A 24830-nucleotide genomic window follows, 5' to 3' on the forward strand; every position below is an offset into this window, starting at 1 on the left:
CCCAGGAGGCGGAGATTGCAGTGAGCCAAGATCATGCCACTGCACTCCAGCCTGGGCGACCGAGCGAGACTCCGTCTCAAAAAAAAAAAAAAAAAAAAAAATATATATATATATATATATATATATGTTTAACTAACAATGTTGACTGCTACAGAATGGAATTGGCTGGCAGGACTTTTCATGTTTTACTTTATACACTTCTGTACTGGCTAAAATTTTACAGTGAATGTGGATTTTCATAATTAAAAATATTAAAAACAAAAAAGTTTTCCAAAATTGATTCTAACTTTGGTTTACACCTGTGATGTCAGTTTCGGGAATGAGGCCCCTCAGACAGGAATCAGGTCTGCTCACCTTGTTTTGTAGGGATCCTGAACAAACATACGCCAAAATTGGCAAAGCAGGCGGACGCAAAGAGCATTGGCAGAATGTCTCCCGCCCCTCCTCCAAGCCTCAGGGCTGCGTAATGGCAAGTGCAAATTCAAAATAAGTGGCTTGTTTTTCTCTGCTGAAAATAAAGGAAGAAACTTCTCCCTCTTCCCTTTCCTTACACATTTACCTCAAAAAATATATGAGTTCTTTCTCTGTCTCTTTGAACTATAAATAAAACTTTTTAAATGTTAACTAATCCTCTGAACAGCATTACAACCCAGGAATGTCTTTCTTAAGGACCTGGGAAATATCTCTTTGAAATCATCAAGGAAGATAGCACCTGTATGTCCCAGTCCTGGTGGGAGGGGAGGAACCTCTTGCTCCTAAACTACCTCCTGTTATAAAGATATGTAAAGTTTATTTTTCCTTGTCATAAAGCCAATTAGATAGAACAGATGATTCACCCCAATTACCAAGTGAACTGAGGACAAACTGTGTGTGACAAGTGGGGTTGTCAAGTCCTTTTACTTGAGGACTAGTTGTTGTTTATCTAGAGAAAATGTATGGAATTAATTTTATTAATATGTCTTTATAAAAGGGTGAAATTTCTTTCCGTCTTTGCAATCTTTTTAGAAAATTGCCTGTGATGAGCATTATATTCTGGTTTAATGCTTATTCAATAATAAAACTGTTTTATTTGTTTTCTTTTTTTATTATTATTATACTTTAAGTTTTAGGGTACATGTGCACAACCTTTGTGGGGCAGTTTTCTGGGCTGGGAATAGATTTTGTTTTTAATTCTATTTCCCAACAGCTACAGAGTGTCAGACCCCCTTGTACACCTTCAGAAGCCAAGGCCACCCCCGGCCCCCTAGGTTCTGCCAGCTGCATCCTGGAGAAACTCTCTGGAGCTACTGGGAGAGTAAATGGAGGCCACAGGCAGATGCAGGCTGTGGATGCCACAGATATATTAAAGAATAAAAATCATGTCATAGACTAGAGAGGTCTGTGACACTTTGACATGCTCCCCCAATCCCCAGACTTTCTGGGACTGGACCACTGGCCATCTCTAAGGCTCTGTTTTCTAAGGAGTTTACAGCAGAAGCTACCTCCCACTTGGTCTTGGAACTAGAATGAGTGTAGAATTGGGAGCAAGTACAGACAGCTAAGGCAAAGTGTGCAAGCAGATGAACTTTTCCCTCATGCCCCTTTCCCTGTATCTGAACCCATTACCCTTTCCTGATGCTCACTGCCCCTCAGGGGGTCCTCCTAGTGCCTGCAGGCTTCTTCCTCCTTTCTAAGGGGCTGGACTGCTTTATTTAGTGGGAATACTCCAACCCAAATCCAAGCTAAAATTTACATTTTCAAAAAGGACTTTTGATAACTGCACATATTTTCACTTTATTTAGTAAATACTTACTGAGCATATCTGGTATGTGAAACACTGATGTAGGTTTCTGGGAGAAAGGGTAGGAGACCCCCAAATTAATATCAACCAATCTTCTGCACTGAAGGGGATTTGCTATTTCTTGGGGAAGATGTTACAGGTAGTCAGGCATGAGTGGGGCAGGAGAGGGCTATCCTCCACCAACTAGGAATGTCAGGTGATGGTTCAGGATTTGTCACATTGCCTCTCTAAAAGTGATAAATTGGCAGCCAGGGAGACGCCATTATCCTGAGGGTCCACACCTGTTGCACTGAAGTGTTAATTGAATACAGATGCCAGGAAGAAGCATCTTTTTGGGCATGCATATTAAGAGACAAAATGGCGGAGTATGACCTTCCAGGGGCACTCCACCGGAAAAGGGAAGAAAGCCTCAGTTGGGCGTGGGTACAACTTCCTAAACACAATGTGTGTGCTCACTTCCCAAGGGTAAGGGGGGCACTGCACGTGCAGGCAGCACACCCTAAGGGAAGAATCATGGGAAAGGGGCCAGCCTATAGAGTCCTAGGATCAAGGTTAAACACTGCACTTTACCTCGGTGCCCACTTGGATCTCTTCCAAGCATACTTTCCTTTCTTTGCTGTTCTAAAGCCTTTTTAAATAAACTTCCACCCCTGCTCTGAAACTTCCCATGGTCTCTTTTTCCATCTTATGCCCCTCAGTCAAATTCTTTCTTCTGAGGAGACAAGGATTGAGGTTGCTGCAGACCCGTATGGATTCGCCTCTGGTAGCCTGGATGCCTTCCACTGCTAACATATTTGGTGCTGTGAGACTCAAATATTTGCCACCCCTAACAAAGACAGACAAACAAACACATCAACCCCACAAAGCATGAAAAGGTCTATAAGAAGGAAGTGTTTGCTGTGGGCTGAGAATGGAACTGCTAGGCTAAGGGTTCACCAGTGGAAACTTGGACGTATGTTGCTGGTTTTAAATCCAAGCTTAGAAGCTTTTGGTCAGTGGTTTGAAAGACTTCTGAGACAGTCTATGAGTTCTCAAATATTTTAAGTGAAACACTTCTGGTAGAAAGAGCATGGGTTCTGAGGCCATCTCAGAGTCTTACACAGGGAATCACAGAGGTCTAGCTTCTTCCTCTCCACTAATCTGATCCTAGAGACTCACAGAAATCTCCATAGAAGACTGAGCCTCACAGTCTAACTGCTTTGCCAGATGTACAGTAACAGTGGGCTTCCTCTAGAGGCACAAGGTGTCCTCACAAGCCCTACTAGCCAAAGAGTCTAAATCTTGGGGCTTCGGGTCCACTCAAAGAAGCAGAGTCTTTGGCACATGCAAGACATCCTCAGTTTCTACAGCTCCCATTCCTGGCCTGCAAATCCCCAACAACGCTCCGTTTACCTGAGCTCACCTTTCATCATCTGTTCTCATGGGATCTAGTTTTCCACTTTGGGAGGATTGTCCTTCTGCTTAGACTTAAAAATGTTACATGAAATTTCAAGGTTGTAAGAACTGAGAGACTGAATATAAAAGTGGACAACAGCCAGACCATATATAACAACAGAACACTGACTCAGAAACTCCGAAGGGACCCTCAAGGGAAGCCAAACCACAACCAAACCTCTGAAGCACTTGGCCCAGAATGGCCAAGACTTGTTCGTGACTGCTCACTTTCCTGTTTTCTGAAGCTCCCCTCCCCTTCCACACTTCTTTCAAACTCAAGACCAATCACATAAAGTCAAATATGCTTCCCAAACCAATCCCCTAAGATGTCCTGCTTCTAGTTTATCAGAGAACCTGCCCCATTAGTCACTTAGGTTCTTTTCTATTTTCCCTAAGCATCGGCTGGTTTGAGAAATAAAGGGACAGAGTACAAAAGAGAGAAATTTTAAAGCTGGGCAGCCGGGGGAGACATCACATGTCACTAGGTTCCATGATGCCCCCCAAGCCACAAAAACCAGCAAGTTTTTATTAGGGACTTTCAAAAGGGGAGGGAGTGTACGAATAGGTGTGGGTCACAGAGGTCACGTACTTTACAAAGTAATAGAATATCACAAGGCAAAGGGAGGCATGGCGAGATCACAGGACCACAGGACCAGGGTGAAATTAAAATTGCTAATGAAGTTTCGGGCACCATTGTCATTGATAACATCTTATCAGGAGACAGGGTTTTGAGAGCAACCAGTCTGACCAAAATTTATTAGGTGGAAATTTCCTCTTCCTAATAAGCCTGGGAGCGCTATGGGAGACTGGGGTCTATTTGACCCCTACAGTCTACAGACCATAAAAGACGGGCACGCCCAGGGGGGCCGTCTATAGGACTACACTCCCAGGCGCGTACTCTCTTTCCCAGGGATGTTCCTTGCTGAGAAAAAGAATTCAGTGATATTCCTCCCATTTGCTTTTGAAAGAAGAGAAATATGGCTCTGTTCCCCCCGGCTCACCAGCGGTCAGAGTTTAAGGTTGTCTCTCTTATTCCCTGAACAATTGCTGTTATCCTGTTCTTTTTCCAAGGTGCCCAGATTTCGTATTTGTTCAAACACACATGCTCTACAATTTGTGCAGTTAACACAATTATCACATGGTCCTGAGGTGACATACATCTTCCTCAGCTGACAGGATTAAGAGATTAAAGACAGGCATAGGAAATCACAAGGGTATTCATTGGGGAAGTGATAAGTGTCCATGAAATCTTCACTATCCACATTCTTCTGCCATGGCTTCAGCCGGTCCCTCCGTTTGGGGTGCCTGACTTCCCGCAACACTAGTTAGCTCACCTCCAGCTTCCCCATGCCAAAATCCTCCAGTCAGGGAATACTCGGGCCTTTCCCTTTTTTTCTACTATGAAGCTTTCCACTCCCCTGCCTGCCTTTGACTCTCTGCCAAATGCAAGTGATGGTGGCTGACTCCCCTGATATAGCTAGCTCTGAATAAGTGGCATCTGTGCTCATTTAAGTAGTCTTCATTTATGTCCACAGAACTCTGCAGCAGTTCCTTAGGTATGCATGTGTCCTTCTGACCAGTTCCACGCAGAGCATAGGGGTTAATTTAGCAAAGTGGATGCTGCAGCACTGGCGGCCAAGCAAGACAAGAAATTAAACCTCAGAGATTCTGATGATATTGAAAAGCTGGTTTGCACTGAGCTGAACCACAGGCCCAGAGTGGGTCCAAGTAAGCATCCCAGACAGTGTTTGGGCACCAAGAATTCAGACTAGGAATGCAGTTAAAAACAGATTCTTGGCTGGGCGCAGTGGCTCATGCCTCTAATCCCAGCACTTTGGGAGGCCGATGTGGGCAGATCACGAGTTCAGGAGATCGAGACCATCCTGGCTAACACAGTGAAGCCCCATCTCTACTAAAAATACAAAAATTAGCCAGGCATGGTGGCACGCGCCTGTGGTCCCAGCTACTCAGGAGGCTGAGGCAGAAGAATCACTTGAACCCAGGAGGCGGAGGTTGCAGTGAGCTGAGATTGCACCACTGCACTCCATCCTGGGCGACAGAGTGAGACTCCGTCTCAAAACAAAAACAAAACAGATTCTTTCCAGGTGTATGGAGCCAGAAAAGGGGAGAAGCTATGCCTTGTGGAGAGATAATGAACTTTGTAGTCAAGCTGCTTTTTGGTCACAAGAATCTAAGACCTTCTCAAGATAGCTCAATAAAAAGGGATTTCATTTACAGGTACAGGCAAAACACATCAAATCCAGGAATAGGAATCAAAATTCTACCAGCTCCAGCCCTAGGAAGTCATGAGAGAAGAGGGCTCTTTGTGTTGTGCCTTTGTGTTGTGAGTGGGCTGTCATCTCTCTCTTCTCTGTTTTTCTCTATACATCAACTGCATTCTCTCTGAGGGGCAGACTGGTTTCCTCTAATTATTCATCAGCTTGCACCTGGCACCCAAAGTGGCCACTCCAGCCACCAAGCCTATTTCTGCTTCCAGGGGAAGCATCACACTTGTGTGGAATAATCTCTGTGTTTTTTGCTTCAATTTCTCAAAAAAGTCGTATCTGTTTACACAGCTCCTCTGGTCCAGCCAAGCCACACAGGTCATAGGTCACTGGCCAGTCTCTTAGGTGTGCAAGTGTCCCTGCAGGTGATGGGTTATGCCTTCAGTCAGATTATCCATCCATGGATCAATCATTAGTGGCTAGGGGAACAGGGCCATGTCTTACATAACGACATGAGCATATTGGATATTATGAACATGTTCTATTACAGAAAGCAATATTATTAAATAACACAGATGACATGCACCCAACACAATCATTGCAAATGCCCGAAAAAAAAATGGATATGATAGTGGATTAGAGAATAATGAAGGTTATTTCTAAAAAGATCCTGCAGAGGATGGAAAGAAAGAGGGTCCGTGCAGAGAAGTTCAGGAAGGACTTCGTGTCAAGCCGATAGAACAGTTGTGTTCGGGATCCATAAAGAAATGGGGCCAAACATGTTAGGACTTTAGGAGGAAATAGGCTGCATGGCCCTTCCATTCTTACAATATTCAGTGTGGATGGGGCTTAGAGATCATCAAGTCCAGCCCTGTTGCACTTCAGCTGAGAGTACTGAGAGTCAGAATGGCTGGTGACACAGCTGCGGTCACAGATTAAAGTGAAAACCAAGGCCAGCGTTCAAGTCTCTGTCTCCGCAGTCAGTCTTTCCACTATAGACTATTCAGAATTCCTTAGCTAGCTCACTCTTTCACTAAGGCAGCTCCTCTCTTTCTAACACTGGAGCTTTACAGAATAGACACATGGTGGAGAAGAGCAAGCCCTTCCTTGGTGGTCTTTGTTGGAGGATAATCTGCTTCTCAGCACTGCCCTCATCCTCTTTTCAAAAACTCCTCGAACCCTGACCCACACATCCCTGAGGACTCCCTGCACTGTGTCATTCCTCAGAGTATATATAAAGGGGTTGAGGAATGGAGTCACCACACTGCTCAGAACCAAAGGGATCTTGTTGATCTCCAGATATTCTTTCTGGGAGGGAGTCACATAGATAAACACAGTGATGCCACTAGAAATGATGACTATGGTCAGGTGGGAAGCACAGGTATTAAAGGCCTTCTTCCTTCCACTTGCAGAAGGAATGCGCACTATGGTCAAGATGATGTACGTATAGGAATAGGCCACGAGGACTATGCAGCAGAGGATGACCATGGAAGAAAGCATAAAATCCATCAGCTCGATGGCAGTGGTGTCTGCACAGGCCAGGGCCAGCAAGGGTCCACTGTCACAGAAGAAGTGGTTAATGATATTGGAGCCACAGAAGGGCAGCTGGGAGATGAGGATGGTTGGAAAGAGCACAGACAGGAAGCCTCCCACCCAAGAGAATACAACGGTCCCAATGCAGACAGAAGGTCTCATGATGGTGGTGTACCGCAGGGGGCAGCAGATGGTGGCATAACGGTCATAGGACATGACCGTCAGCAGGAGGAACTCAACTGTGCCCAAGAAAAAGTAGAAATAGCACTGGGTGATACATCCGGCAAAGGAGATGGTTTTATCCCTAGATCCTAAGTTGGCCAACACTTTTGGAGAGATGACTGAGGTGAAGAGGATGTCCAGGATAGAGAGGTTGCACAAGAAGAAGTACATGGGGGTGTGGAGGCGGGAGCAGGACAGCACAGTGGAGATGATGAGCAGGTTCCCCAGAAGAGTCAGCAGGAACGTGGGCAGCAGGAGCACCAGGAGCAGCAGCTCCACCTCCCTGCTCAGGGAAAACCCCAGCAGAACAAACTCAGTCACCGCTGCAGTCCAGTTACCCATGGGCCTGGTGGGCCTGGCTCAATTCTCCTAACAGAACAAAGGGAGATAACACTTAAGAGAGTGTTCAGTGGATGAAACCCCATGGCTGCTCACTAGAAAAATATGAACATAGAACATGATGACTGCCAGCTAGACGTGTAATGCAAGTTTAGCTTGGCTTTCAATTATTTGCCTATCAAAATGGACAAGGTTTTTGAAAATAATAATGTACACTGTCAGCAAGGGTGTCCTGAGACCTATGCTGTCATATAGGTCATATGAACTTTCTAAAAGATAATTTAGCAATGTGTGTCAAAAACCTTAAAATTAAGCAAATTCTTAGATTTGGAAATTGTACTTCCATCCTGAGGAAGTAGTCATGGATATGTTAAAAAGATTTTGCCACAAGAATATTCACCACAGAATTTTTTACAATAATGAAAATTTGGCAACAACTTTAATATCCAGAAATGGGAGATGAAATAAACAAATTATGGTACCTTTAAGAAATAACACATTATGTAGCCATTAAAAATTATATTTTACAGTAACATATAAATGACAAAACATTCAAAATGTATTATTAAGTTTTAAAGCATTATTTTAAGCATTATTTAAGTATTTATTATTATTAGGTTTTAAAAGTGTTTTTAAAGCAAGTTACAAACTTGTAATGACATTGTGATGCCATTTTGGGGGAGAGATGTAAATTAGCAAAGGTCCTAGAGTAGCCAAGAAGACATTGCTGAAGAAGAAAGTCAGGGAAGGAGCTTGCATTGGCAGATATTGAGACTTATAAAATTGGAATGATTAAGGCAAGATGGCATTGGCACAAATATACATAAAAATGACCAATGGAACAAAATACAGAGCCAAGACACAGACCCACACAGATGTGGAACAGTGATATGTGTCAGAAGTGAAAGAAGCTGGTACTGCTGCTTGTCCATAGGGGAAAAAGTAAAATTGATTCCCAATCTCATATCAGACACTAACATCCACTCCAGATGGACAAAAAACTTTTGTGTAAAGATCAAAACTTTTAGAAGAAAAGATAGAAGAATGTTGTTTTTGGCCTCAGAGTAGAAAAGAACCTACTAAATAAGACCCAAAAAAGTGCTAAACAGAAAAGAAAATATTAATAAATTAAGCTACATTAAAATGAAGAATTTCTATTTATTAAAAGAGCCTTCAAATAAAGTTAAAGGCAAATCACAAACAGGAAGAACATATTTATGCCACAGATAATGGACAAACTTTAGTACTCATGTAATTAACATTTTGATTCATACAAAGCAGTAAGAAATAGATAAGCAATCCAATAGAAAGATGGGCCAAACATGCTACCTGAACTCCATTAAAGAGGAAAAATAAATGTACAAAAAGATGCTTGATCTCATTAGTAATTAAGGAAATATAAATTAAGACACTAGCGCCCTCTCCCTCTCCCTCTCCCTCTCCCTCTCCCTCTCCCTCTCCCTCTCCCTCTCCCTCTCCCTCTCCCTCTCCCTCTCCCTCTCCCTCTCCCTCTCCCTCTCCCTCTCCCTCTCCCTCTCCCTCTCCCTCTCCCTCTCCCTCTCCCTCTCCCTCTCCCTCTCCCTCTCCCTCTCCCTCCCTCTCCCTCTCCCTCTCCCTCTCCCTCTCCCTCCAGGGTCTCCCTCTGATGCCGAGCCAAGGCTGGACGGTGCTGCTGCCATCTCGGCTCACTGCAGCCTCCCTGCCTGATTCTCCTGCCTCAGCCTGCTGAGTGCCTGCGATTGCAGGCGCACGCCGCCACGCCTCACTGGTTTTCGTTTTTTTTTTTTGGTGGAGACGGGGTTTTGCTGTGTTGGCCGGGCTGGTCTCCAGCTCCTAGCCACGAGTGATCCGCCAGCCTCAGCCTCCCGGGGTGCCGGGATTGCGGACGGAGTCTCGTTCACTCAGTGCTCAGTGGTGCCCAGGCTGGAGTGCAGTGGCGTGATCTCGGCTCGCTACAGCCTCCACCTCCCAGCCGCCTGCCTTGGCCCCCCAAAGTGCCGAGATTGCAGCCTCTGCCCAGCCGCCACCCCGTCTGGGAAGTGAGGAGCGTCTCTGCTTGGCCACCCATCGTCTGGGATATGAGGAGCCTCTCTGCCTGGCTGCCCAGTCTGGAAAGTGAGGAGCGTCTCTGCCCGGCCGCCATCCCATCTAGGAAGCGAGGAGCGCCTCTTCCCGGCCGCCTTCCCATCTAGGAAGTGAGGAGCGTCTCTGCCCGGCCGCCCATGTCTGAGATGTGGGGAGCACCTCTGCCCCGCCGCCCTGTCTGGGATGTGAGGAGCGCCTCTGCTGGCCGCAACCCTGTCTGAGAGGTGAGGAGCGTCTCTGCCCGGCCGCCCTGTCTGAGAAGTGAGGAAACCCTCTGCCTGGCAACCGCCCCGTCTGAGAAGTGAGGAGCCCCTCCGTCCGGCAGCCACCCCGTCTGGGAAGTGAGGAGCGTCTCCGCCCGGCAGCCACCCCGTCCGGGAGGGAGGTGGGGGGGGTCAGCCCCCCGCCCGGCCAGCTGCCCCATCCGGGAGGTGAGGGGCTCCTCTGCCCGGCCGCCCCTACTGGGAAGTGAGGAGCCCCTCTGCCTGGCCAGTCGCCCCGTCCAGGAGGGAGGTGGGGGGGTCAGCCCCCCGCCCGGCCAGCCGCCCAGTCCGGGAGGTGAGGGGCGCCTCTGCCCGGCCGCCCCTACTGGGAAGTGAGGAGCCCCTCTGCCCGGCCAGCCGCCCCGTCCGGGAGGGGGGAGGGGGGGTCAGCCCCCTGCCCGGCCAGCCGCCCCGTCCGGGAGGGAGGTGGGGGGGTCAGCCCCCCGCCTGGCCAGCCGCCCCATCCGGGAGGGAGGTGGGGGGGTCAGCCCCCCGCCCGGCCAGCTGCCCCGTCCGGGAGGGAGGTGGGGGGGGTCAGCCCCCCGCCCGACCAGCCGCCCCGTCCGGGAGGGAGGTGGGGGGATCAGCCCCCCGCCTGGCCAGCCGCCCCGTTCGGGAGGTGAGGGGCGCCTCTGCCCGGCCGCCCCTACTGGGAAGTGAGGAGCCCCTCTGCCCGGCCAGCCGCCCCGTCCGGGAGGGAGGCGGGGGGGGTGGGGTCGGCCAGCCGCCCTGTCCGGGAGGGAGGTGGGGGGGTCAGCCCCCGCCCGGCCGGCCGCCCCGTCCGGGAGGTGAGGGAGGCCTCTGCCCGGCCGCCCCTACTGGGAAGTGAGGAGCCCCTCTGCCTGGCCAGCCGCCCCGTCCGGGAGGATGGTGGGGGGGTCAGCCCCCCGCCTGGCCAGCCGCCCCATCCGGGAGGTGAGGGGCGCTTCTGCCCGGCCGCCCCTACTGGGAAGTGAGGAGCCCCTCTGCCCGGCCACGACCCCGTCTGGGAGGTGTGCCCAGCGGCTCATTGGGGATGGGCCATGATGACAATGGCGGTTTTGTGGAATAGAAAGGCGGGAAGGGTGGGGAAAAAATTGAGAAATCAGATGGTTGCCGGGTCTGTGTGGATAGAAGTAGACATGGGAGACTTTTCATTTTGTTCTGTACTAAGAAAAATTCCTCTGCCTTGGGATCCTGTTGATCTGTGACCTTATCCCCAACCCTGTGCTCTCTGAAACATGTGCTGTGTCCACTCAGGGTTAAATGGATTAAGGGCGGTGCAAGATGTGCTTTGTTAAACAGATGCTTGAAGGCAGCATGCTCGTTAAGAGTCATCACCACTCCCTAATCTTAAGTACCCAGGGACACAAACACTGCGGAAGGCCGCAGGGTCCTCTGCCTAGGAAAACCAGAGACCTTTGTTCACTTGTTTATCTGCTGACCTTCCCTCCACTATTGTCCTATGACCCTGCCAAATCCCCCTCTGCGAGAAACACCCAAGAATGATCAATAAAAAAAATAAAAATAAAAAAAAAATAAAAAAAATTAAGACACTAGCAAGATACCATTTTATACCCACTATATTGTCAAGAAGCAAAAATATGACAATAACAAGTGTTGACGAGGATGTGGAGACTTAAAAAATTTACACTGCTAGGTGAGGAGCCCCTCTGCCTGGCTGCCCAGTCTGGAAAGTGAGGAGCGTCTCCGCCCGGCCGCCATCCCATCTAGGAAGTGAGGAGCGCCTCTTCCCAGCCGCCATCACATCTAGGAAGTGAGGAGCGTCTCTGCCCGGCCGCCCATCGTCTGAGATGTGGGGAGCGCCTCTGCCCCGCCGCCCCATCTGGGATGTGAGGAGCGCCTCTGCCCGGCCGAGACCCCGTCTGGGAGGTGAGGAGCGTCTCTGCCCGGCCGCCCCGTCTGAGAAGTGAGGAGACCCTCTGCCTGGCAACCACCCCATCTGAGAAGTGAGGAGCCCCTCCGCCCGGCAGCTGCCCCGTCTGAGAAGTGAGGAGCCTCTCCGCCCGGCAGCCACCCCATCTGGGAAGTGAGGAGCGTCTCCGCCCGGCAGCCACCCCGTCCGGGAGGGAGGTGGTGGGGGGTCAGCCCCCCGCCAGGCCAGCCGCCCCGTCCGGGAGGTGAGGGGCGCCTCTGCCCGGCCGCCCCTACTGGGAAGTGAGGAGCCCCTCTGCCCGGCCAGCCACCCCGTCCGGGAGGGAGATGGGGGGGTCAGCCCCCCGCCCGGCCAGCCGCCCCGTCCGGGAGGTGAGGGGCGCCTCTGCCCGGCCGCCCCTACTGGGAAGTGAGGAGCCCCTCTGCCCGGCCACCACCCCGTCTGGGAGGTGTGCCCAACAGCTCATTGAGAACGGGTCAGGATGACAATGGCGGCTTTGTGGAATAGAAAGGCGGGAAAGGTGGGGAAAAGATTGAGAAATCGGATGGTTGCCGTGTCTGTGTAGAAGGAAGTAGACATGGGAGACTTTTCATTTTGTTCTGTACTAAGAAAAATTCCTCTGCCTTGGGATCCTGTTGATCTGTGACCTTACCCCCAACCCGGTGCTCTCTGAAACATGTGCTGTGTCCACTCAGGGTTAAATGGATTAAGGGCGGTGCAAGATGTGCTTTGTTAAACAGATGCTTGAAGGCAGCATGCTCCTTAAGAGTCATCACCACTCCCTAATCTCAAGTAATCAGGGACACAAACACTGCGGAAGGCCGCAGGGTCCTCTGCCTAGGAAAACCAGAGACCTTTGTTCACTTGTTTATCTGCTGACCTTCCCTCCACTATTGTCCCATGACCCTGCCAAATCCTCCTCTGTGAGAAACACCCAAGAATTATCAATAAAAAAATAAATTTAAAAAAAAAAAAAATTTACACTGCTAGTGGGAGCATAAATTTATATAATTGCTTTGGAAAATAATTTGTCATTACCTTGTAAAGATGAACATTCACATACTCTGTGACCCAATAATTCTACTCCTAGGTAGAGAAACTTGCACATATGCCCCAGGAGACAAACAAGAATATGTATAGGGAAGGGGGAGAGGGGGAGGGAGGGAAAAGAGAGAGGGAGGGAGGGAGGGAGGGAGGGAAGGAAGGATGGAAGGAAGGAAGGAAGCAAGGAAGGAAGGAAGGAAGGAAGGAAGGAAAGGGGGAAGGGAGGGGAGGAGAGGGGAGGAGAGGAGAGGAGGGTAGAGGGGATGGGAGGAAAGGAGGAAGGAAGGGGGAAAAAAGAGAAGGAGGGAACAGTGTCCAAAGACAGGAGAATAAATCATGATATGCTCACAGAGTTGAATATACAATAAAGAAATGAATAAACTTCAGCTCAACCAACAGTGAGAATGTATTTTTTTTTTTTTTTTTTTTTTGGAGACAAAGTCTTACTCTGTCACCCAGGCTGGAGTGCAGTAGTGGTAGCATACAGCCCACTTCAGACTCAGCCTCCCTGGATCAAGTGATCCTCCCACCTCAGCCTCCCAAGAATCTGGGATCACAGGTGCATGCCACCATGCCCAGCTATTAGGTTGTTGCAAAAGTAATTGCGGTTTTGCCATTACTTTTCGTAGCTATGGGATCTCACTATGTTGCCCAGGCTGGTCTCAAACTCCTGGGCTCAAGCGATTCTCCTGCCTCTACTTCCCAAAGTGTTGGGATCATAGGCATGAGCCACCACACCCAGCCTCTTCTTGATATTTTCAGTATTTTTTTTTACAATGAACAAATATTCCTTTTATATAAAAGAAGTTAAGCTGGGCATGGTGGCTAACGCGTGTAATCCCAGCACTATGGAAGGCCGAGGTGGGAGGATGACTTAAGGTCAGGAGTTTGAGACTAGCCTGGGCAACATGGTGAAACTCTGCCTCTATGAAAAATACAAAAATTAGCCAGGCATGGTGCCATGCAGCTGTTGTCCCAGCTACTTGTGAAGCAAAGGTGGGAGAATCACCTGAGCCCAGGAGCTTCAGTGAGCCATGATCACACAGCACTGCACTCCAGCCTAGGTGACAGAGTGAGACTCTGAAGAAAGAAAGAGAGAGAGAGAGAAAGAGAGACAGAGAGGGAGAGAAAGATAAGAAAGAAAGAAAGAAAGAAAGAAAGAAAGAAAGAAAGAAAGAAAGAAAGAAAGAAAGGAAGGAAGGAAGAAAGAGAAGAAAGAGAGACAGAGAGGAAAGAGAGAGAGAGGAAGGAAGGAAGAAAGGAGGGAGGGAGGGAAGAAAGAAAGAAAGGGGGGAGAGAAGAAAGAAAGAGAGAGAGAGAGAAAGGAAGGATGGAAGGAAGGAAGAGAAAGAAAGAAAGAATGAAAGAGAGAGAAAGAAAGAAAGAAAGAAAAAGAAAGAAAGGAAGGAAGGAAGGAGGGAGGGAGGAAAGAAAGGAGGGAGGGAAGAAAGAAGGAAAGAAAGAAGGAAGGAAGAAATAAAGAAAAAGAAAAAAGAAAGAAGGAAAGAAAATTATTCTAAAAGGATATATATATATATACATAGTTGGATTGAAAATGTATATTAGCAAACACATATTGAGTGCCAACTATGTTGTGGGGCCTGCGATTGATGAAAGGTTGCAGAGATGGTAAAAAAAATTGCATGCCCTCGCACAGCTTTCAGTCTAAAAGAGATGTGAAGAAACCTGATTTCAGAAAAATCACAGAAACAGAGGAAAAATTAAGGGACGGCAAAGTTTTTTCATGGATATTTGTCCTGGGCCATTAGTCTGGAAAGCAAACCAACTACCAGGAAAACTGATAGATTCCAGGGACAAGGTCAAATAGGGCTTCTATACCTAGGAAGGACTCTGGATAGCAGAGGCCACGTAATTACCAGTGACTAAGAAGAATATGGATTGGACTAGGAAAAACAAGAATAATCTAGTAAAGGAAGAGGACTGCAGAAATCCCGAGGACTGAGTTGACCTCTGCCCATCTAAGCTGAGTCAGAACATCAGCCACTCCTGCACAGAACCTGTCCTCACGACCTGCCCTACCTTCCTATAGCCTTGGCACATGGACAGTCTCTCCAGACAACTCACCACATTTGCATTGCCAAGGATCTTTTCTTTCTTAACAGCTTTATTGATATATAACTCAAGTACCATACATTCCACCCATTTAAAATATACAATTCAATAGCTTTTAGTGTATTCACAAAACTGTGTGTCCATCACCACAATCAACTTAAGAATATATATATATATATATATATATATATATATATATATATATTTGAGATGGAGTCTCGCTCTGTCACCCAGGCTGGAGTGCAGTGGCACGAGCTCAGCTCACTGCAACCTCCACCTCCAGGGTTCAAGCGATTCTCCTGCCTCAGCCTCCTGAGTAAGCTGGGATTACAGGCGTGTGCCACCATGCCCAGCTAATTTTTGTATTTGTAGTAGAGATGAGGTTTCACCGTGTTGGTCAGGCTGGTCTCCAACTCCTGACCTCATGATCTTCCCGCCTTGACCTCCCAAAGTGCTGGGATTACAGGGACAAGCCACCATGCCTGGCAGATTTAAGGATATTTTAATGATCCCTCCTCCATTCCCTGGAAACTATTTTTCTACTTTCTGACTATGGATTTGCCTATTCTGGACATTTCATATAAATGAATCATACCATATGTGGTCCTTTGTATCTAGCTTCTTTCACTTACTATAATATTTTCTTTATTTTTATTTTTAAATTTTTTTTAGAGACAGGGTCCTGCTCTGTCAGTGAGGCTGTAGTGCAGTGGCATGAAGATAGCTCACTGCAGCCCCAAACTCCTGGGCTCAAGTGATCCTCCTGCCTCAGCCTCCCAAGTAGCTAGGACTACAGGTGCACACCATCACACCTGGATAATTTTTTTTTTTTTTTGAGATGGAGTTTTACTCTTGTCACCCAGGCTGGAGTGCAATGGTGCAATCTCTGGTCACTGCAACCTCCGCCTCCCCGGTTCAAGCGATTCTCCAGCCTCAGCCTCCCAAGTAGCTGGGATTACAGGCGTCTGCCACCACGCCCAGCAGATTTTTGTATTTTTAGTAGAGACAGGGTTTCCCCATGTTGGCCAGGCTGGTCTCGAACTCCTGACTTCAAGTGATCCATCCACCTCGGCCTCCCAAAGTGCTGGGATTACAGGCGTGAGCCACCGTGCCTAGCCTAATTTTTTTTTTAATTAGAAAATAATTTTACTTTTTTTATTTTTTGAGACAGGGTCTCACTCTGTCACCCAGGCTGGAGTGCAGTGGTGCAATCATAACTCACTACATCCTCGACCTCCCAGGCTCAAGTGATCCTCCCACCTCAGACTCCCAAGTAACTGGGACTACAGGCACACACCACCATGCCCGGCCAATTTTTGTATTTTTTGTAGTGATAGGGGTTTTGCCATATTGCCCAGGCTGGTCTCGAACTCCTGGGCTCAAGCGATCTTCCTGTCTTAGCATCCCAAAGTGCTGAGATTACAGGTGCAGGCCACTTACTATAATATTTGTAAAGGTTCATCTATGTTATAGCATGGATCATTGCCAAGGATCTTAAAGAACCAATGTAGCAGGAGAAAAGGCCACAGCCCCAAGAAGAAGCCCTGACCCCTGGCATGGCAGAAACACACACACACACACACACACACACACACACACACACACACACACACACAGAGAGAGAGAGAGAGAGAGAGAGAGAGAGAGAGACAGCAGTTACTAAATGTAGATATATGCACAGTCTGTAAAATCTAGAAGAATAGTATGGAGGATGAATTTGGACTTGGTCACCAAATCTGGAAATGGTAGGATGAGGGATCAAGACTTAATTCATTTAACTCTCAAAATACATCTTTGCATAAGGTGCAACTGCACCCACTGGAAAATCATTTCCTCACATCAGAAATATTAAGAAGCTTAATGAAGGCAAAGATACACACCTGAGATTATAACAGGAACAGCTGCTCCCAGCCAGCCCCCAAATGCCAAACGATTGGTCTGCACTCACCTCGGCTAGGGTTGCCTTATGCCACCTCCACGGCTCAGTCTGTTCACCTGGGATTTGCTGCCACCTAGGATCTTCCACGGTAATTATCTTGACCAAAAAGCCACAGTGCATTCCACATGAGAGCAGCAGTGTTTGACAGGTGAAATGAGCCCTTCCCAACTCATGTGGATTGTTGCCTTAGCTGTGACCTCTTGTCCGACGAGCATGCACTTGTGTTGTAGACAGCTGGAAGGTACATGTTGGATTTTTACACTGCTGAGGAAGTTACAAGGTATGACATCCATTCCAGCATAGAGAGGTCTACAAATCCTCTTGCCCTAATCCTGAGTGTGTGAGGAAATCACCTTCGGTTAAGCATTGACCAGCTGCACCTCCCACACTGTCTACACAATCTGATCCAGTTGGGGAGAGAAAAGGGGCACTCTCCACTAAGCTCCTGGATGGTGCTTTATTCTCCTCTCCTGCTACCATCTTTCCTGCACCCTCTCCAGTCTTCTGCTCAGCCCAGTCTTCTGGGTGCTTCTTGATTCCAGAGAAAATGGGAAAAGAAACACTGTGTTACCTGATGGACAACAGCCATCAACCTGCTTCTTCCTCTGTCCCCTCAACCCAACGTGCACTACCACCACCACCATCCCCATCATATTTTTTTCAGAGACTGGCAGGCCAAGCGTCCCAAGGACTAAACTTCCTCTAGGGTTACTGCAGGATAGTCAAATCCTGTTGAGGGGTAGCTGGTGCATGAGAAAACTCTGGACTTGAAGCCAAGAGTCTGGGTTCAAGTCCCACCTGTGCCTTTTACCATTCTTGAGACTGGAAAAATTGCCTCCATTTTCATACTATCTGCAAATGAATCCTCATGTGACAAACAGCGGTAATGCTCTTTTCCTCCTCTTCCTCATGAGGTTGAGAAGCACAAAACGGAAAATAAGATAACTCATATGATAATCGATCATTGCCAAGGATCGTGAAGAACAAATGTATGATAATTCATATGATGTGTGAAATCATAAAACACCATATTGCTTTATTTTCTAGAACCCCTCCTATTCTGCAATACTGGAAAAGAACAAACCTTATCTTCCTTGTCCCTACTGAGATATTGATCATCCCACCCTAGAGGGAAGAATACTGTCCCTTCTGGCTCTGGAATACATCTCATCAGGCCCATGCTTCTGCCTTAATCAACTATTCTCCCCTTGGACAGCATATCTGGTTGGCTACAAAGTGTGAAGACAAAGGGAAGATGCTTCTCTACATGGGAATTTCGGTTGCCCAGGATTCCTGGAAATGAAGAAACTACTTCCTGTCCTCCACCATCTGCACTCTACAGAGGAGTCAGTAAGCTGGAAGGGATTCAGCGGGAGGACTCAGAAATACTCACATTTGCCTAAATAAGGTAGAGGGGGCTGGCCCCCAGCATATCCTGCCCACACAGCTGCCCCAGGCTTCCGTGCTGGGCGCTGAGGCTTGCGTTGCTGCAAACAGACTCTGCACTGTCAGGGCTGAAGGGGGCATACTCTAGAAGGGTCCCATGTTTGGACCCCACTTGGGAGGGTTGGGGTGGGATTGGCTCAGGTGAGAGCATGCACTTTCTGAGAAACCTCCAAACATGGGGCACTCCTCAGGGGCACATTACGAAGCTGTCCCTGAACACCAAGCCTGAGTCTGATGCCCCTGAGGCCCACTTAGGAAAGGATGCAAACCTAAACATCTACACTAACAAGAACTGGGAACAGAACACTAGCCAAGATCAACACCCCCAGGCCTATCTCAGAGAGCCTCACAGCATACAGTCCTCCATCCACCCCCTCTCCAGCCCCACTGTGACAGTTCCATCCATCCCTACCACTCCATTTACCCAGGACCCTCCTCTTCAACATCCTAATACACTGTGATCAATATGCCAAAGCTTCAGTAACCTTGCACTATGTGAAACAAAAGGTCCCACACTGCATAGCCTGGCACTCAAGACCCCCTAATCCCAGTCTCCCTTGAATTACCGCCCAGACTCAGCTCCTGTCTTACACATCACCTTGCGCATCTTTTACTTCGGTTGAGCCACTCTATTCACTGTGCCCCACGCTGGCCCTCACTTTCTTACTGCACACTCGGGCCCCAAGTGTCCTACCATTGGGACCATCTTCTCCACCGCCTAGTCTCTAGGCCCTACTCTTGTCCCTTTTCCTAGCCTAAGCTAGGTTCTCCCTCTTTAGATATCCTTTTCTTGCACTTGGAATCAGGAATCCACAGTGTAGAACTGGAGTGTTTTTAACCTTTTTTAATTTAAATATAACACATGTACAGAAAAGTATACAAATCATAAGCTCAATGAATTATCAATAAAGTGAACACATTCATGTAACCACCACCCTGGTGAAGAAACAGAATGGTACTAGCACCCCAGAAATCCTTCTCAAGCTCCCTCCCCACATCCCAGCTGTAACCATTATCTTGATTTCTAACACCATGGATTAGTTTTGCCTGTTTTGGAAATTCATATAAATGAAATCATCTAATAGGTCTTGTTTTGTGTCTGACATCTTTTTCTCAACCTTATAGTTTTGAAATTCAATCATGTTGTGGTGTGTGACTCATTTTTATTGCCATATATTTCATCATTTCATTTGTGGTTATTTAGCCTCTGGGCAGATTTTTAAGTTCCTTGGGAACAGGGATTTTTTTCATAAAATTATTTTTGAATCCCCATAATGCCTAACTGGAAAAGCAAAAGTTGCTCAGTATATATGAATTTTAGTCCAAAAAGCTTCTAATTTCAATCTCACATCATATACCCCCATGAACAGGCAATAGTATCTAACAATTTCAGCAATTTCTTTTTCTCACATCTCATACCCAATTCATTAGCAAATCCCACTGGCTCTACCTTTATATATATGTCAAATCCAACCACTTATCACCATCCCCATTACCCTAGTTCAAGTCACAAACATTGTAGAAGAATAGATAATGAAGTAAAAAGAGTGTTGCAAAATAGTATAAATGACATCATCCTTTTTTTTTTTTTTTTTGAGACAGAGTTTAATTCTTGTTGCCCAGGCTGGAGTGCAATGGCATGATCACGGCTCACCGCAGGCTCTGCCACCTGGGTTCAAGTGATTCTTCTGCCTCAGCCTCCCGAGTAGTGGAATTACGGGCATGTGCCACCATGCCTGACTAATTTTGTATTTTTAGTAGAGACAGGGTTCTCCATCTCTGGAGAACTGGTCTCGAACTCCCAACCTCAGATAATGCACCCACCTTGGCCTCCCAAAGTGCTGGGATTACAGGTGTGAGCCACCGCGCCCAGCCTCTCTTTTTTTTGAGACCAAGTGTCGTTCTGTCACCCAGGCTGGAGTGCAGTGGTGCCATCTCAGCTCACTGCAACCTCTGCCTCCCAGGGTCAAGTGATTCTCATGCATCAGACTCTTGAGTTGCTGGGAGCACAGGCATGCACCACCATGCCCAGCTAACTTTTGTATTTTTAGTAGAGAGGAGGTTTAGCCATTTGGCCAGGCTGGTCTCAAACTCCTGACCTCAAGTGATCCACCCGCCTCTGCCTCCCAAAGTGCTGGGATTACAGGTGTGAGCCACCATACCCAGCTGATTCCATTTTTTAAAGACATATATTAATGCATAGATAAAAGAATATAAGTATATTAACTAAAATATTAATTGTGGTTATTTCTGCATGCCGGGATCTATTCTTTCTTTTTTTTTTTTTTTTTTTTTTTTTTGAGACAGAGTCTTGCTCTTTCGCCCAGGCTGGAGTGCAGTGGCGCGATCTCGGCTCACTGCAAGCTCCGCCTCCCGGGTTCACGCCATTCTTCTGCCTCAGCCTCCCGAGTAGCTGGGACTACAGGCGCCCGCCACCACCCCCAGCTAATTTTTTGTATTTTTAGTAGAGACGGGGTTTCACCGTGTTAGCCAGGATGGTCTTGATCTCCTGACCTCGTGATCTGCCCACCTCAGCCTCCCAAAGTGCTGGGATTATAGGCGTGAGCCACCGCGCCTGGCCTATTCTTTCTTATTTTTATATTATTGTGGTAGATAGGTCAATCATTGTGTTCCCCACCCAGAGCCCTAACTGCAGTGTTCCTACATATGAGTTGGCCACCCATCCGATTGGGTCACAGGTAGGCAAACAACCCAGGAGAAACTAAGCCAAAGGTGGGGATAAATGCAGCAGATTTCCTCAAGAAATTGAACCAAGAGGCACAGAAACTATGATAGACACCTGTTGTTTTAAACATTCTTTCTTATTTTCTTCTATTAACCACTACCTCATTCCCTTTTGGGAAGCAGCTCCTTCTCCATTACACAAACCATGTGATTCTAATGGGACTATATAATATCACAATATAAAGCCAAAGTTCATGAAAGGGAACACGATCTATTATAATATCCATCACCCAACCACAGTGACTGATCCAAAGAGTGACCATCCAACCCAAGGCAGGCCAGGAATCCCTCCTTTAGAATCCATATGTTGGAGCAGAGTTAGGAAAAGCTCTCTCCTCTGGGCTCAAAAGCTGTGATGATGTAACCCTGAGCTGCCAGTAGATCTACACCCAGCCTCACCCTTCCACTGTTGCACGGAGAGAGCCTTTCTGCTGTCTGGATTCATGAGGACAACACACCAATGGAAATGCAGCTAAGAGACAGAGATAGAATTTGGACACTGTTGTGTATGACTGGATCAGTCATGCCTGAGGCCTGCCAACAATATCCTTTCTGATTGTACAAGCCAAAAAATCCTCCGTTTTTCTTAAGTTCATTTGAATTATGGTCTTCTGCAGTCATAAGAGCTCTAACAAACACAGAGACTAATTAGTAAGACGCTGGTGGGTACTTTTCTGAAAAGTTGTGTAGAGTTGGGGCTGGAGTAGGTGCCATAGCAAACCAAAGTGATTCCTAAGCTGAAGTCATAGGGGAGCAAATAAACCATCAGTGATAGTAGAGACCTTGTTTCAAAGAGAAGTGTAACAGTAGCTTAGACTCAGAGACAAGTAATGACTGAGGGAACACGGGCCCACCGGAAAGGATGGTGGCAGCCTGAGCTGCTGACTTTCTTGTTCCAATCCCTGTGTGCCTTGTTCCTACTCTTGGATGCCCATGAGAGACTGCCTGATGTATTCTTTCTACAATCTTACACATACACACACACACTCACATACACACAAGACTTTAGTCAACTAGCTTGAGTAAGCCTCTGTTTTTTAAATTCAAAGTATCAATGAGTAAGAAAATAGTGTTCATACATCACATTTCTAATCAGAAAGTTATTTTTAAGATCCAAACAAACTTTTGCTCTACAGAAATTTATTTAACATAAATGACATTTATAAATTTATAGATTAAGGCAAAAATTCACTTTAAAGGTCAATGACCTTTGGACAATTTCTGTACAAGGACAATACTTCCAGAAAGTTTAAGGCTGTCAACCTTATTCTGCTTTAACTCCAGCCACTCTCATGTCTGCCTTCCCTTACTTGAGCATGGTAATGGGTCTGGCAACTGGCTAATTATAATAGGCGACAAGGATGAATATGTTTTAGGCCCAACCAACAATTTTATGATGTACTAGCAACTCTCATGAGGATGTCATTCATAAGTTGGTTTTTTTTTAAGTACTAGTTCCACTATATAATTGATGTTTTATATTAGCCATCTCCCCCTCCCCACAATTGTATATGATCATAGGAATAGAATTTTGAAGATGGAAGGACCCTAGTTCTATAACCTCCTCATGTCACAGAAGGGTGTTAAGTCTAACACAGGTCAAATGAATCACCCAAGGTAACAAAACTTTGAAGGCAAAAACTCCAGCTTTCTTGACCAGAGCAGTATAGAGAAGAAAATCAATGAAAGCTAGTGGTACAGGCACAGGATTCATGGAAGATGTGAGATTAAAATCAAGACTTAGCCTTTCAATACAGGGCAATGAGTACCACCAGACTATGAGTAGAAAGAGCCAGGTACTGGCTCAGGCTATGCCTTATCCATTTATATGACTCCCTGAAGGTAGAAACTAGGTTTTATTCTTCGTGGTATTCCCTACGCCCAATATCATAACAAAGACATGAGAGAAACTCAATAAAAAAGTGAATAAGGAGTGGGTGAGTAAGTAAGCAAATAGATAGGAAACCTAATACTCTGGAGAAGTCTATGTAGAAAAGGAAAAAAAGGGCCGGGTGCTGTGGTTCATGCCTGTTATCCCAGCTACTGAGGAGACTGTGCCCGGAGGATCCCTTGAGCCCAGGAGTTTGAGACCAGCCTGGGCAACATAGTGAGCCCTCATCTCAGAAAATGGGAATAGAGCCTCGGTGAAAGCCTTCAGTTAAAAGGCAGGAGAAGGAGTCACCACTGGGAACAAGAGAAAGAGTAGTGAGAAAGCAAACCAACAGAAAGCCAGTGGTACAGGATTAGCAAGCAGGGGAGGAGAAATCCAAGACGTAGGTATGTCAGCAGTGCCAGAAACTAGGAAAAGGTTATGAAACATGAGAGCGAAGGAAAAGTCATTGGATAAAAAATTTTTAAGGCTAAGTGTCTATTGCTAAGCAAGACTAGCAGCATATTTTGGCTAGGCAAGAACTGGGGTTCCAGTGTGGCTGAGAAGAGCAGAAAACATCCATCCCCAGCCTCGCACCACTGGCATGCTTCCTGAACCCACCCCTCAGAATATCTGCTTACATTAGTGCCTCTATTTCCACAGCAAATAGAGATAAGAAGAGTCCCTTTATATCTATTTGCATATACCAAATTATGTTAAAAATCAGGATTCTCCCAGGGGTAAAAACGGACTGGAAAAAAAAAAAAAGGACTGGAACGTTGATCCTCATTTAGATTCAAGAACATAAAAATAGGTCTGATGTATGCAAGTGCCCGTAGTCTGAGGTTAGGTTACAGAAAAGGATTATGGAGCCTCTAAGAAGGAACTCACCACAAGGGAAGAAGGACTCTGAACTGGTGAGCTGTGTTCAGGCACAGCTCCTTAAGTACACTGTATGTCTGCGATCCTGGCAGTGTAGAGAATCAGTGAGCATGTGGGCATGTGATACTGGTGGACCTCTTCCATGAATGCCTCTAATACTTTGAGACACAGTTCATTTCACTCTAAGGTCCCATACCTGTCAGAACTCACAGCATAGTTAACAGCAGGCCTGTGGTTTCTAGAAGAGGCAATGGCAACAGTGGCCCCTGGCTCCTTCAGTGGTGGTGGCAGAGACCCATGAGGTGACCAAAACCAGCTGTTGTGGTGACTCAGCCCACAACACCCATCAAGCACCCTCCTGGAACACGGTAGACCAAAGATGCTCAATAAAAGCAGCACAGCTGAATGACTGAATTCAGAGAGGCATTTAGGAGCAATTGGTATCAAAGTCACTGCAAATATTGAGTAGCAATGCAAGAACCTTCCAAGTGTCATTCCTCATCTCTTCCCTGTGAGAAAAGAAAAATAGCTGAAAGCAGCCTGAGCTCTGTGAGGCATGCAAAATTTATCAGGTCCAGGGACACATGAGTGTGGGACCTCAGTCACGCCCACTGTCCCCCACCATCCCCATGACCAGGGGCAAGTGTTTAAAGGTGTTTTGGTCTTGACTAGCTGCCTTGCCTATTATCTTCATGTTCCTGGCATTTGTGATACAAAGCACAATGCATAGCTAATTAATAGCTTATGTTATTTTGATGCAACTTCTTGGCAAACAACTTAGGAACTGCCTCTTTAAAAACTCACATGTAACTGCTGCTAACTAATCTCAGCACATAGTCAGGGCAACCTGAATCTATGCACCCAAATTGTAGTCCTCAAATCTGGCCCAAGTAAACTCCCTACTTTTATTAATTTTGTCTCAGTTTTTGTCCTTTAGGTCGACACCTGTGTCCTGGATCTCAGTTCACTAGATTAGGTCAGGACCAGTGGGTTAGGAGAGTGAAGGTTTCACATTCCATCAGCCCTGGCACTAAATGTCAAGAAGAATAGTGCCGGGCTGGGCGCAGTGGCTCA

The 24830-nt window shown here is 46.9% G+C and overlaps 1 protein-coding gene across 1 annotated transcript, besides 2 other annotated features; it reads right to left on the reverse strand.

Moving 5' to 3' along the window:
- Positions 1–3653: 3653 nt before the first annotated feature.
- Positions 3654–17077, reverse strand: OR6J1 (olfactory receptor family 6 subfamily J member 1). The gene is made up of 2 exons (NM_001348233.2): positions 16823–17077; positions 3654–7563 (listed from the first exon to the last, which is right to left on the reverse strand). The coding sequence occupies exon 2, from the start codon at positions 7534–7536 to the stop codon at positions 6493–6495; it is 1044 nt and encodes a 347-aa protein (NP_001335162.1). The 5' UTR covers positions 7537–7563; positions 16823–17077; the 3' UTR covers positions 3654–6492.
- Positions 9264–9975: an enhancer, noted in NCBI's record as "H3K27ac hESC enhancer chr14:23105272-23105983 (GRCh37/hg19 assembly coordinates)". NCBI's record gives its function as "activates a minimal SCP1, AML or CMV promoter by ChIP-STARR-seq in naive H9 embryonic stem cells {active_cell/tissue: H9 hESC(naive)}" and the evidence as "EXISTENCE:reporter gene assay evidence [ECO:0000049][PMID:30033119]".
- Positions 23909–24128: an enhancer, noted in NCBI's record as "active region_8137". NCBI's record gives its function as "activates an Ori minimal core promoter by ATAC-STARR-seq in GM12878 lymphoblastoid cells {active_cell/tissue: GM12878}" and the evidence as "EXISTENCE:reporter gene assay evidence [ECO:0000049][PMID:35858748]".

This window comes from Homo sapiens, chromosome 14, assembly GCF_000001405.40.
Source record: "Homo sapiens chromosome 14, GRCh38.p14 Primary Assembly".
Lineage (NCBI taxonomy): Eukaryota > Metazoa > Chordata > Mammalia > Primates > Hominidae > Homo > Homo sapiens.

Bases quoted from the DNA above. Each gene is read 5' to 3' on its own strand.
- OR6J1 (NM_001348233.2), bottom strand. From the start codon at position 7,536: ATGGGTAACTGGACTGCAGCGGTGACTGAGTTTGTTCTGCTGGGGTTT.